This window comes from Homo sapiens, chromosome 5 (genome assembly GCF_000001405.40).
Source record: "Homo sapiens chromosome 5, GRCh38.p14 Primary Assembly".
In the NCBI taxonomy this organism is placed as follows: Eukaryota; Metazoa; Chordata; class Mammalia; order Primates; family Hominidae; genus Homo; species Homo sapiens.
In genome coordinates, this window is record NC_000005.10 from 9310709 (window position 1) to 9325810 (window position 15102).

Here is a 15102-nt window from a genome sequence, read left to right on the forward strand (position 1 = left end):
AATTTCATATTAATAAAAGGAAGTAATTTAAACACAAGAATCCCAGCAGCTTCTTTAGAACTGGCAACTAAAGATTCATAGTTTGCATATATACATATATATATATATGAACACACATATGTATATGTGTATATATATACACACAATATATATATTGCATATATAATATATATATACATGAACACACATATGAATCTTTAGTGTTTAGATTTCTTCATATGTGGAGACATATATATTCAACATATATACATAGAAATCTAAACCGAAAAATTCCCTAAGCACATCAAAGATCTTATATGTTCAATCAAGTAATCTTAATATCACAGATTAGAAAATGGCTTCTTTAAAACATGTGGAAACTGAGGCAACAATCAAGGAACATAGGGTTTCTCAACGTTGGCACTGTTAGCATTCAGAGTCAGGTAAATTTCGCTCAACGGGGGGGTCCTGCTCTGTGCATTGTAGAAGGTTTGGTACCACCCCTGGTCTCTACACGCTAGATGCCAGTCAAAGCTTCCCCCACCAGTTGTGACAACTAATAATGTCCCCAGATATTGCCAAATATTCCCAGAAGGTGAAATTGTCGGAAGTTGAGAACTTCTAGTCTAAAAATTGACTCACGTTGAAACTCAATCCCCCCAACCCAGATATACAGGAAAGAAGTTAATAATGTGGCACATATACACCATGGAATACTATGCAGCCATAAAAATGATGAGTTTATGTCCTTTGTAGGGACATGGATGAAATTGGAAATCATCATTCCCAGTAAACTATCGCAAGGACAAAAAAACAAACACCACATGTTCTCACTCATAGGTGGGAATTGAACAAGGAGAACACATGGACACAGGAAGGGGAACATCACACTCCGGGGACTGTTGTGGGGTCGGGGGAGGGGGGAGGGATAACATTAGGAGATATACCTAAAGCTAAATGATGAGTTAATGGGTACAGCACACCAACAAGGCACATGTATACATATGTAACAAACCTGCACATTGTGCCCATGTACCCTAAAACTTAAAGTATAATGATAATAAAATAAAATAAAATAAAAAGAAGAAAGAAGTTAATATCCACTTTAACTTTGGAGAGAATTCTCTACCGATATTGATCATGTAGTCAGAGAGATTTAAGTTTTCAATTTAGAAACCATAGAGAGGCAGGTGGCAAATTGGAACACAGATTTCATTTTTTCTGCTTATCCCAGCATTTGTGAGTGAGAAACAAGCAGTGAATTTATTTCCGTTAGAAACAAAACAATATAAAAATGGATTTGGAGCTATTTCCCAAAAGAATTTTAGTAAGACAGTGAGGTTAAATGAGCTCCAGCCCCTTTGTGTTTTTTGAACTCTGTTCAGTGAGCATCTACCTCCAGCCATCTGCGGTAGGATCCCAGATGGGCAAATGCTGTGAATTAGTCTGAGGCCAGCTCCATTTTTATATTTTTCAAAAAGCTTTGTTCTTATAAAATAATCTCCATGATTAAGGCAAGAAGAAAACTTATACTGAAGATTTGAATCTGTTATTATGACATGAGGTAAAAGAAACAAATTATGGCCAACCATCACTATGCCTGAAAATGACTGGTTTTCAATAGGGGATGGCTAAACTTCAGCATGCAGTGAGTTGCAAAAAAAAAAAAAAAAAAAATTATCACAGTCTCTGAGCAAACAGGTGCCTTATAAGTGAAAATAAGTTAACATTTGATTCTCTAGTCATTGATGATAAACAGGTTTTATTTTCTTAAATTAAAAGCAACTCTTGGTCTTTAAATGTTAAGAGACATCTTCTCTTAATATGTTAAGGCATACCTGTCTGAAAATCATAAGAAATATTCCAAATATAGCCATTTTACTTCATAGTACATTTGTATGTGAATATTCATATGGTCATGCCAAGAGATTTACCTCATACAGATAACATTCACTCAGGGTAACAGAGTACTTGTATCCCAATTCCTGCTCAAATCTTCACGGCTTTAGCAATTCCACCAGTGATGTTTCTAGTTTGTCAAAAAGACAAGATTTTTTTTGGCAAAAGGGAAGAGACTTCCGATTTGAAGTACTGTTGACTCCATGTCCAAAATATTCCTTACACCAGATTTATCAGGCAACCTGTCTTGGAAGTGAGTTTTCTCCTTTGGGAGCCACCCCACAAAAGCCTATTTTTCTCATCACTCAATTTCAGTATGGTTCTACAGAGCTGAGCCGCCATGTGTGACAGTGCTTTGATAGATATCATAAGGTCACAGAATGGTGGGAGAGGAGTGGAGAGGGTGCACTAAGGTGGTGTCCCCGTGCTCCTACTGTAGCCAGGAAGTGTGCTGGCTGCTGGATGGAAAATACCACCCTGGATTTCAGGGCAATTGACAAGGGACAATGCAGTGGGGTCTCCAGAATTCTATGAATGTCACTAAGTAGGAAAAAAGAAGAATCATTATTCAACATCCGCTTTCTCATCATTGTTGCTAAACCAATGTCAAAGCAGGAGAAAAAATTTGGGAGAGAGGAAAATTGTAAAACAGTATTGAGAAGACAAGTGGTTAGTATGTAAGGAATGAATATATCAGTCAGGAGTTGCCTGTCTCATCCACGAATTGTCCCCTGGGGTGACAGTATGCACATGTGTGTTTTAGGATGTCTCTTCTGAAAGCATTTCTTATAACTCTAGCTTCTGGGTTAACGTTACTTTTCTTTTCTTGAATTTAGGGACAAAAATATGATGTTTACCTCCCACTCCATTAAAGTTATGTTTAAAAAGGTTAGGGAAGAGTAAGCATATTAAATACTAAGGGACAGAAACTTGTAAGCCATCTGTTTTGACTCTACCACCTTCCAGGTAACCTAATCTAATAATATCATCTAATTCTGAACATATAAAAAGAAAGAAAACACTTCTTACAACACAGAGAATGAATTTCAACATGAAACAATAAGTACTAGTCAGAAGTAAAGGCTATGAGGCTGTGAAATGCCTCAGAGGGTCACCAGCCAAGCAGGCACAGAATGGGTTACAAAGAGGTGTTGTCTCCAGTGAAACTCAAGGATGGGCAGTCTTTTTCTTCAGGAAGAAGATAAATAGGGTGAAGGTGATTGAGACAGGACAGCAAGAGCAAATGCTTCAAGTTGGAAAATAGCCTACAGTTTGGAAAACAATATGCAGCATGACATGACCAGACAAGGTAGAAACTGCCCTCAGGTGATCAGGAGAGTCACAGGTAATGCAAACTGCCACCTGGAGGTGAACCTCTGTCCTGCATAGGGGCAGGACCCAAGGATGCCTTGTCTAGTGTTAAATAAAGGTTACTGGTGAACTACATTCATTTCTCATTGTCTCCAGTTTTCTTGAAATTGGTTGTCCTCCTTGATCTGTTTCATCATTTTTCTACATTTAAACAATAATTTTTAACTTTGGAGAGAGAAAAGGAGAAAAATATTAACCTGAGATATACAAATCAACCCCCATGATTTGTGGTAGAAAACCATCTTTCTATGTAATAATTGAAAGCACACAAGTCAAACGTTCTGTCACTTATTATCTAAAACTGTGTTTTCCAATGGGGCGCACCAGCGATCCAGAACACTTCAACTCTAGCTGGTCCAAATCCAAATGTGATGGAAATATAAAACACACACTGGAGTTTGAAGACTGAGTTCCAGAAAAAAAAAAAAAAAGTGCAACAGATCATTAATTTCTTACAATGATTCTATGCTGAAATTAAAATATTTTGGATATATTGAGGTAGTAAAATATACTGTTAGTAGTCATTTCCCTTGCTTCTTTGTACTTTTTTCAGTGTGCCTAGCAGATCATCTTAAATTACCTATTTGGCTCACATGGTGCTTCTATCAGACGGCACTGTTATAAGACCCTTTGTCTACCAGTGTGCTTATTCCTTTCTGTTATACTTGGGAACTGTCATGTAAATTAAAATAAAATATTCATAGAAACCAACAAGGCCTCTTTGCTGGAGACACGTGATATAAAAAAAAAAAGTGTGTCATGAATTGCCAGCCTTCTCTCTCCAGACTAAGTAAACAGTAGGCTACAGAACTCCGTACACAGCCACATAATATGAAAAAGCAGAATTGCCCTGCTTTGCACCAATGGTACAGCAGTCTGACCTCTATCATTAGAGCCGCATTTTTAAAACCACAGTTCAAAAAGTCACGTCTTCTTGCTTGGTGCTATGTCAGTAGACTAAGCTCTCACCACGTGGTGGTACTGATGGGCATCCTATACTTCAGTAACAGCTCATCAATCCCATCAATAATTGCAACCTGATTTCCACCGAAGGCAGCCAAGACCAAGGAGGCAATGATGAGAAAAGTACAATCAGTTTCCTTGACCTCACAAAAATATATACACATGAGTTAATGGAAATACATCTCCTCACTTTTTTGCATCTATTTATTTGGACATCATGTCAGTAAAATTTGCAAAAATATCACAATAGACTCTCATAAGCCCTTCACCTAGATTCCCCTGTTAACACTGTATCATATTTGCTTTATTATATTTGCCTCTGCACATGTGTATAGCTTCTATGTATGTATGTGTATAACAATTTTAAAAGCTATTTTGATATAAGTTACAGAAATGATATCCATTATCCCTATATCTTTTAGCATGCTTTTCCAAAAAACAATGACATTCTCCTATATTACAGTTATCAAAATCAACAAATTAATATTAATACATTTCTACTATCTTATCCAGACATTTGAATTTCTCCAGTTGTCCAAATAATGTCCTTTATAGTAAGAAAAAATATATCTGCTGCAAGATTCAATTTGGGTCAAGTATTGCATTTGATCCCCATGTCTATTTGTTGAGCTTTATGATGGAAGAGCTCTTTATTATTTCTTCTTTTTTCATACCTTTCATGACTTCGTGATATCTGAAGGGTAGAGGCCAGTTTTTTGTAGGATGTCCCTCAGTGTATCTGATGGTTCCTCATGATAAAGTTATTAGTTATAATTTTGGTTATAATTTTTGGCTGAAATATCAAGGACATCTTGCTGCGTCCTCTGTGCATCAAATCACTGAACTCTGTCCCATTGCTGGTGAAGTTCCCCTTGACCTTTGACTATTTGGTCATGGGCTATTTGCCAGATTTCTTTACTATCAAGTTATAAGTTTTCCTGTTGTAATTAATAAGTATCATATAGGTAAGTACTTTAAGACTACCATGAATAAATATCCTGGCTGTCATCAAACTCTGACCCATAAATTAGCATCTATTGATCACTTTTGCCTAAATCGATTTTTAGTATAATGGTTGCCAAATCATAATCTCCTAATCAAATTATTCCTTCAATATTCATTAGTTGGCATTTGTTTACTCATTTATTTATGTTTTATGTTAGCATCTACTCATGGATTCTTATGTTATTCAATGTGTTATAATCTACCTCTGGCATTATCTATTTTGACAATCAAATTGCCCCAGATTTCTTCAGCGAGCCCACTTCAAGCTGGCTCCTAGTTTCTTATGACACACCCTCATCATTCTTTAAATATTTTCCTTAATTTCTGAAACAACAAGCTCTTCCAGTCTTATCTGAGTTCTCCTTGCCCAATTCTAGATTAAGTCACTTCTCAAAAAAATCCTTCGTTTGTTTTCATGGAGAATTAAGTTTAGAAACAAAGTAACATGTATCAAGTGTGTTCACTGCTACTAAGAATACTTCTAAACCCTCTCAGCTGACGGAGCTAGCAAATTTAAAAAGAAATGAATGCGTATATGTAAATATATGTTTGTGCACACACAGACCTACAAAACCTCACTTTTTAACACAAGTGATATGCCAGAGAGTATACCATGAGAATCAAAATGAGTATAATATGTAGTTTCTATCTACTAAACGATATATATTTTAGAAAAGGTTATCTAAAACAATCTTTAAAATGGCATTATGATTAAATTGTTGATCATTCTTTTTTTAATTAGCAAATAAAAATTATATATATTGATAGTGTACAACATGTCACTTTGATATACGTATACGTTGTGGAATGGCTAAATCAAGCTAATTAATATGCAGGTATCTCACATACTTTATTTATTTATTTATTTATTTTGGTGTTGAGAACACTTGAAATCTACTCTGTTAGCAATTTTCAAGCACATAGTACATTGTTAGTAGTTATAGTCACCATGTCATACAATGGATCTCTTTAACTTATTCCTTTGTCTAACTGGAATTTCTTGTTCTGTGGCCAACATCTCCCTAACACCTTCCCTGACCTTCTGGGCCCCTGGAAACCACCAGTCCACTCTCTGCTCCTAAGAGTTTGTCTTTTTAGATTTCACACATAAGTGAGATCTTGCAGTTTTGTCTTTCTGTGCCTGGATTATTTCACTGAAGGTAATGTCTTCAAATTGCTGATCATTCTGATTCCTTAATAATAAATTCATAATTTTACCACTCAATTAGCTCAATGAAAGACTCCAGTTATGTACTAAATTGCAGTGGAAAGACAATTTATTGTCAATTGTGATAAAACTATTATAATGGAGATTTATTATTTATTATCATCACTTTAAAAAATCAAGAATAATAGAAAATTCTTGATAAATTGCAATGTTTTATCTCTTTTGAACGTCTTACTTATTTTTCGCCATGCTAGTATGGAGTTGGCAGTGATTTGTGACCATTTCACAGATGAGGAACCAATAATTCCTAGAAGTCATGGAACTAGATCACAAATCAGGTTGATGTGTCTTCAAAGCCCTTGCTTTTTATCAATATTAGCTTTGATCAGGGGATTGGCTGATTTTAACACCTTGCTAAGTAAAAGATAGATTTAATATTAAAACCTAGCTCTGAAGTTCCCTAAATGTTCACAAGCAGCAGCATTAAAGAGAGAATAAAATAATATAAAATCCTCTCCAATCACCTCTTAGAGCTCTAGCACATGAGAGTGAGACGAAAATTGGTTGAAGAACTTTTTCCAAACTCTACACAGCCCGAAGATTCTGGCATAGTCTGTAGGGAGTTCCAGAATCTTGGTGAAGAAGATATTTGTGTCTTAACTCTCTTATTTTCTAGGAGACACTTTTTAAAGACTAGAGGGAAAAGTGGGCTTTTGTGACTCAGATCTGCTACTAAAATAAATACTTCATTTAAGTACAAGATCTCAGGTCCATTGTTCAAACCGCAACAACAGAAGTAGGTAAATTTCATTTTGATCTATTTCCCTTTATTCTTTGTTATAGATAGCTTTTAACCCAAGTATTCATATTTATGTTAATATAAATTATAAAGAGGAAACAAAGCTGTTTTACAAGAAATTGATGCCCGGATGCATCAAACTAAATAATCGATGATTGCTGTAACTGTGGGGGAAGGAATGTGTCCAGGCTTTGAAGCAATGTTCCTTGAATGGTCTGTCATCTAAGGAAGGACAAATCAGGATCACATCCACGGAACAAACAGGGCCACCTGACAGGAGGAAAAGGCTAATCAGGAATTAAGGGAGGTAATGACTCGTAACAAGTAGGGCCGCCTTAGTCCCGTGGCCTGACCTGCTGAGGAAACGAGCCCCTGCTCAGGCTGGATTAACACCTTTACATGCATCTGTCTTCATCCCCTCAAACAGTGAGTTAATTGGGATGGAAAATGAAAGCTTGAGAAAAATAAATTGCACCTACCTGGATAAGAGACAGATCCTCAAGCTGTAACCTGAAGAGGTAGTTTCTGCAAAATACAAAAACAGAGCAGTTTTATTTTTAATAGATCACAGAAAGTTAAGAGTTTATAAAAATTTCAAGAACAAAGAAAATAATAATTTTGACTTCAAAAGCATCTTCTTTCTAAGAATATGTTCAGCACTACTTTCCTTGGATCTTAGAGTACAAAGAGGAATTCAAGAGGTCAACAAATACACATTAGAGATTGGTGAGAAAGCTAACGAATAAGTGGGGTGTGTCTGTACATACTTACGGTAAGTGTAAGTCATTAACTGGATCTCTTGATCTATATGGAATAAATAAAAGGACATGGGCATTCCATTCTGAAACTCTTTTACTTAAGATGATGTACAACTATTCCTCATAGGTCTTCCTTTATAATTATCACCTAAATTCACCATGTTTTATAATTAAGATTTTGAATTCAAGCAATGCTCTGAGGTTCACAGTACTCTACCTTGTAAGATGGATTCAGTACGTAATAAACGTTTAGAAATATGAACTTGGGCCCGGCATGGTGGTTCACACCTGTAATCCCAGCACTTTGGGAGGCTGAGGCAGGAGGATATTTTGATCCTGAGAGGCAGAGGTTGCCAGGCTCCTGGGAACCATGGCAAAATCTGTCTCTACAAAAAATACAAAAGTTATCCAGGCATATTGGCTTATGCCTATAGTCCCAGCTACTCAGGAGGCTGAGGCAGGAGGATGCTTTGGTCCTGGGAGGTGGAGGTTGCAGTAAGCTGTGATCACACCACTGCAGTTCAGCCAGGGTGACAGGGCGAGACCCTGTCTCAAAAATAAATAAATAAATAATAAATACATAAATATAACTTGCATTATATAGGATTTGGTTTAAAAAGAAAAGAAAAGAAACATGAACTTGGTGGTCTGCCCAAAGGAAACTGATGACATCAAGGGCTTCAAAGAGTCAAGTTTCACTGCCCAAGTATAAAATAGGAAATTAGAGAAAAGTAAAATATCAATTTCAACAAAGAAGGGGAAGAATAGTGAAACATGCAGTGGAGATCAGTAGAGGACACAGAAAAAAGATAGATTAGTTACACTGGGCTTTGGACTCTAGTGTTGTAGGTTTTAGAAACAACTCATTAACCTACCTCAGTATTCTTTGCTTCAGCCTCTAACTGAAATCCTGGCATCATGTAAATGGGAAGATGGGGCGGGGATGTGCACCAGCAGCACCCCAAAGAGGAAGGGAGGAGAAAGCCAGCCTAAGTGCAAATAATAATGTCAAGAACATGCTGGCACATAATGGTAAGCAAACTCTAAGATGCAAATGAGCACGAGGTGGGATCTCCAAGAAGCCAAGGATGCTGTTATAATGGGCTGGTCCAAGGTCACTTCTTATTGGTTTTACAACACCTATAAGACATAAATGTTGACTATTTTCACTATCGTGGGCGGGGGGTGGGGGTAGGTATATAAACTGGACATATATCCCAGTAGAAGTGACAAGTGACAGCCAAAGAGGCCCAAGGGCATAGCCTTGAGATGACCAAGAAACATCCCTATGAGTTATGGACAGAGTTAGGGAGGACAAAGCCCCCATGGAAGCCGGCACTCAGAAGCACATGTACACACACAGCTGAAGGATGAAAGAGGACTAGGCTCACATTCAGGTAGTCTCATGAGTCCAGGCATTGCCTCCTGGGCATTCAGGTTTCACACAGTTTGCCTCCTCACATGGGGGTACCACCTCTCTAAACCGAGTGAAAACAGCCTCACCCAAACCACAGCAATAGTCTCCTTACCACACTCTTTCCACCTTTCAAATCTCACCTCTGATATACCCCAAGAGAAGCTCCCAGAAGCACTGCTTGGCACATGCCACCTCCATCACAAAGCCATTTCAGGAAACATTCCCCTGTCCTTTATTATAATGCTACAGCCCTCTATGTAGAACCAGGTTAAGGATACCTCTGAGGGGAGGGAATATTACAGGAAAGTCTTTTGATTTAGTCAGTGCCATGAGAAGACTAGGACTCCAACAGAAATGTCATCTGCAGGCCAGGCACATTGCCCCGTAATCCCAGCACTGTGGGAGGCCAAGGTGGGCCAATCACTTGAGTCCTGGAGTTCTAGACAGGCCTAGGCAACATAGGGAGACCCTATCTCTACAAAAAAAGAAAAAATACAAAAATTAGTCAGGTGGCATGGTGCATGCTTGGAGTCCCAGCTACTCAGGAGGCTGAAGTGGGAGGATCCATTGAGCCTGGGAGGTCAAGGCTCCAGTGAGCCACGATCCTGTCACTGCACTCCAGCCTGGGTGACAGAGAGAGATCCTGTCTCAACAACAACAAAAAGTCCTTTTCAGAGGAACAAATGTGAACTTGGTGCACATACAGAAGAGTATGTTGAAGCAGCCAAGGTAGGTGGCACTGGAGGGTGACTCGCATTTCAACATTAGCCAAGCTTTCACCCAGTGTGACCTTGAAACCAGCACACCTCCTCTAAGGGAAGCAAGAAATCTACACACACACACAGACAAGTCTTTCAGAAGCGGGGCTTACCAGTGTGATATAGTTTGGCTGTGTCCCCACCCAAATCTCATCTTGAATTTTAATCCCCATAATCCCCATGTGTCCAGGGAGGGGCCTAGTAGGAGGTGATTGGATCATGGGGGCGGGTTACTTCATGTTGTTCTCATGATACTGAGTGAGTCTCATGAGATCTGATGGTTTTATAAGCATCTGGCATTTCCCCTGCTTGCATTTCTCTCTCCTGCCACCATGTGAGAAGGCCCAAGCTTGCTTCCCCTTCACCTTCCACCATGATTACAAGTTTTCTGAGCCCTCCCAGCCATGTATAACTGTGAATCAATTAAACTTATTTCCTTTATAAATTACCCAGTCTCAGCTATTTCTTTATAGTAGTGTGAGAACAAACTAGTACATAGCGGCACCAGGGAAATTACTAGCCATTGTACACCCGTTGCCTCTATGAGCAGCTCAGCTCCCCACCCTCACATATTTCCCACTGTCTTTCTGGTTTCAGGAGGCTGCCCCTCTGCTATGGGAGTCAGCATTACCTAGCAATTAAGAATATTCATGCAAAAACCAGAGTTCTGCCTCTATACAATCTCAGGAAGAAAGCATTTCTTTCTATGCCTTAGTCTTTTCATCTGTAAAATGGAGCTAATAATCAAACCCATTCCCTAGGGTTGTTGTGAGGTTTAAATCTAAGAAAAACACTTGGAATGAAGTCTGACCCATTGTAAGCATCAATTAATGGTGCCAACTTCTATGTTAATTTTGTCATTGGTCCTGGAATCCAGTCACCCTACTCCTTTTCAACCCACTGGCAATTTTAAGAAGGACTTCTTCAGTAAATATTTCCAATAAAAGAAACTCATTCATTTAGTAAATGAATTACCTAAGAGCTTTGGTGATATCTCATGGTTCATTCTTTCTTGCTTACTCACACACATACACGTGCACATGTATGTTCACACTATGGTATCTGTCTCCAGAAACTTTCTTGAAAAGAAGCTTTCATACACAAAGGAAGAGCTGGAAGTGCATCAGGGCCTTGAGAAAAGACGATAGCACAGTCTGCAGTGCTCTGTAGAGCTCTGTGCAGATCAAGCAGAGAGCTCTCTGTCTACTTGGAGAGGGGAGTGGAGGAGACACAGAGATCGCCATCCACAACACCTGCTTCCGGTTTTCAGGTGTTTTCCATAGAAGAAGATAATGGCTTATAATAAAAAATACGCCACTTTCTCAGTCCACACCTCCATAAGCAAATATAACTCTTCTGATCATTATTTTTCTGCTTCTCAAGTTCCAATGGGCTGTAAAGGTACCCCTCCTCTCCAGAAACATTGCTAGTGGAGTTTAACCATCTACCTCTTCTCCTTCCAAATACCTGAGAGCTATGGTGCCCTTCCAATCATCTCATCAGTAATAACAAATCAATATGGCAGAGGTATTCAATAGGGGAAAGGAAGGGGCAAAGAGGAGGGAGGGGCATGCTTACTAGGAAAAATAGCACAGTTACTATGAAATACCATCACCAGCACCAGCACCATCACCATCACCACATCCAATACCCCAGGAAGGAAAGCACCAGAGGATTTGAACTTTTCTTTTTGTAGTATTTTCTGGGTTGCAAGATAAAAATTGGTGATTATTTTACCCCATTCCATATTTTTAATCTAATAATATAGAGTCTAAGAAATCAAGAACTAAGAGTCACTAAAGAGTATATACCCTTCAATTTATAGATGAGAAAACTTCTATAAATTAACAGCTGCAGTGAGATTTGTCCAATACTGTAAGGTTTCAGAGAAAGTCCTGGGATTAGAAACAAGCCCCCCGTGTCTTGGTGTCCTTTGTCCCATTATGCCTCAAGGCCCCACCTATTAGTTATTCAATGTCACCTTCCTAATTTCACCTGCACCAAACATGCACACACACAGAAACAAACACAGTAACAGCTCTTATGCTACTACCATTTCATAACTTCACTGGTCATTTACAGCAACATTTACAAATCATTTTAAGAAAATTCAAGTCTTAGTTCTGCTAATAACAAACTTTTGATCCTAGGCCATCAATTTTCACCTCTGGGACTGTGATCTGGCTGTGATGTATGTCTCCCCTTGAGGAGAACAGTTTGAGCCTACGGGTCTGGCTGTTTAAATGGCACCTCTTTTCTCTCTTTTTATTTTGCCTGAACAACTCCCTGCCCATACCTAATTCTAAGAATATCCCTATTTCTTAACTTATAAAATGAAAGAGATAAACTATACAATTATCTCAATGTATTTAAATAATACAAATTCCCAAAAGACTGTGACCATGTTTAGATATACACATTGCCTAACTAAGTTCTACGAATAAATGGCCATTCAACAAAAGTATTTTTATTATGGCAAATTTAAATCATTTCCTGAGAAGTGTTTTTCATGTGTTATTTTTCACAACTGAGTAACTTATTTCAAAATAATCTTAAAAGAAATCTCAACATATAAAATAGATACAATAATTCTTTAATAGTATAAATTGATGTAATAAGTACTTATGTATTTGTTAATAAAATCAGTTGATGAAGCTTTCTTAAAAAAATTAAAACTCCACTTATCAGAACTATTTATCATCTTACACAGATCAACATCTATTTAATGTGTATATTCATGCCAGTTGATTGGTTATATTTTTGTTGATTTTTTATTTGTTTGATTTTTAAGGCACAGAGTTGGTAGGTGCTTTTAAATGTTTCTTTTTTTCCTTTTTTTTTTTTTTTTTTTTCTGAGATGGAGTCTTGCTTCTTCGCCCAGGCTGGAGTGCAATGGCATGATCTCGACTCACTGCAACCTCCACTTCCTGGGTTCATGCAATTCTCCTGCCTCAGCCTCCCCAGTAGCCAGGATTACACTGACATGCCACCACGCCTGACTAATTTTTATATTTCTGGTAGAGACAGGGTTTCACCATGTTAGCCAGGCTGGTCTTGAACTCCTGACCTCAAGTGATCCTCCCAAAGTGCTGGGATTACAGGTGTGAGCCACCACGCCTGGCCTAAATATTAGTTTAATAAATGACTATGGTCCATGGAAAACCCAAGTAGTCAAATACCTCACTACACAAACAGTTTAGTATTCACCTTATTACAATTTTCAGCTATTTTAAACAATATTTTATTTTATTTTTTTTTTTTGAGATGGAGTCTCGCTCTTCCGCCCAGGCCAGAGCGCAGTGGTGCTATCTTGGCTCACTGCAAGCTCTGCCTCCTGGGTTCACGCCATTCTCCTGCCTCAGCCTCCCGAGTAGCTGGGACTACAGGCGCCCGCCACCACACCTGGCTAATTTTTTGTATTTTTAGTAGAGACGGGGTTTCACCGTGTTAGCCAGGATGGTCTCTATCTCCTGACCTCATGATCCACCCACATCAGCCTCCCAAAGTGCTGGGATTACAGGCGTGAGCCACCGTGCCTGGCCTAAACAATATTTTAAAAGGTGAACCATAAGTAAAACATTTGTGGAATTCCCTAATCACATCCCAAGAACCTAAGAATCTGATAAAACACAGTGTGGATTCTGCTATTCTCAAATCTCTTTCCTTGAACTATTTGGCCCCACATACAACTCCAAATGCATTTTTGCTGTAGGAAAAATTCCAAGCCAGCTGGCAACATGAGGGACTTGAAATCTCTCAAGACAGCTTGATCCATCACAGTTTAGGTCAATGACCTACAAAGTTAAAGGTTACAAAAAGAGAGAAAACCTTCTAAAGGGGATAAAAAATTGATATTCCCAGGTGTTGGGCCACTCACAAACTAAAGTAAGATCTACAGAACCCTGCAAGTGGCTGTCCTCCAAGGTATTACAGAAGAGGCAACCACTTTATCTTGCAATTGTGTGAGCACAGAGGAGGGAAAACAATATGCGTGAGGTTCATGAGAAAGGCCACCAGCCTTTCCAACATGAAGGAATAATGCTTCTGGCCCCTGGCCAACTGGAAATGCTAACCAAATGTTGCAAGTAGGGTCAGTCTCCCTAACAGGGCAATGCTTTGAGCAACCCAAAGCATTTAAGTGATCTCATTAATCTTCATAACACCCCTAGATGTAAATAGGTAGTAATAAGGAATATTGCCATTCTTCAGGGAAAAAGGCAGTGGTGCAAGAGGTTAAGAGATTAGATTCTTTGAATGCATTAGTTGTATAGCTTGGAGGAATGATTCTATACTTCTATTTTTCTCCTGTCATTACCAAAATGAAAAGCAAGAGTTTGCCAAAGTGTAACAGTTCAGTGTTATGGCTATAGCAAATAAAAACATGAGTTTTTTCTGCCTGTGGTATGGATCTACTTTTTTTTTTTTTTCTCAAATGCCATGGAATAAAATTTGACATTGCACATTCACGTGCAATAAACCAGATTCCTTTTAGGAGTAATAACATATGAGGAGTACACAGATCCAATGGGCTGAATAATTCAAATCACAAAGCTATTAAGTTTGGCAGATGCAAAATCACAATATTGAAGCCCATTCTTCGTTTCCCCACTAGACACCTGAGTGCGTTTTCTACGTCTTCACCAAAGTTTCTTGCTTACTGACTCTAGGATTGAATAACTCATTCCTGGGTCCCATCACTTCCCCCAGTGGCCTATTAGAAACAAATCACTAAGCATAACAATATATTCTCGGAGGGAGCAGTGGGGACCTTAATAGATGAAGTTCATTTGTATCTTCATGTAAAGTAGTAAAATGCAGCCGGCATTAAAGAAAAGGTTGAGCCATCATGAGCATATTAACTAAATGACTCATTTCATCTAGAGACACTATAAAACTTAACTTTGACCTCCATAAATTATGAAAGACACAGGTGTTTTAAAAGGACATTCTCTTAGAATAACTCAATTGGCCTCTGATGAATATGA

The 15102-nt window shown here is 38.4% G+C and overlaps 1 protein-coding gene across 10 annotated transcripts in view; it reads right to left on the minus strand.

Annotated features, from left to right (window-relative positions):
• SEMA5A (semaphorin 5A) overlaps positions 1 to 15102 on the minus strand; it is a 511043-nt gene that overhangs the window by 275676 nt on the left and 220265 nt on the right. For all 10 annotated transcript variants that reach the window (XM_011514158.3, NM_003966.3, XM_011514157.3 and 7 more), the window contains one exon: positions 7664 to 7709. In XM_011514158.3, the coding sequence (XP_011512460.1) occupies positions 7664 to 7709 (46 nt within the window). The remainder of the gene's footprint in view (positions 1 to 7663; positions 7710 to 15102) is intronic.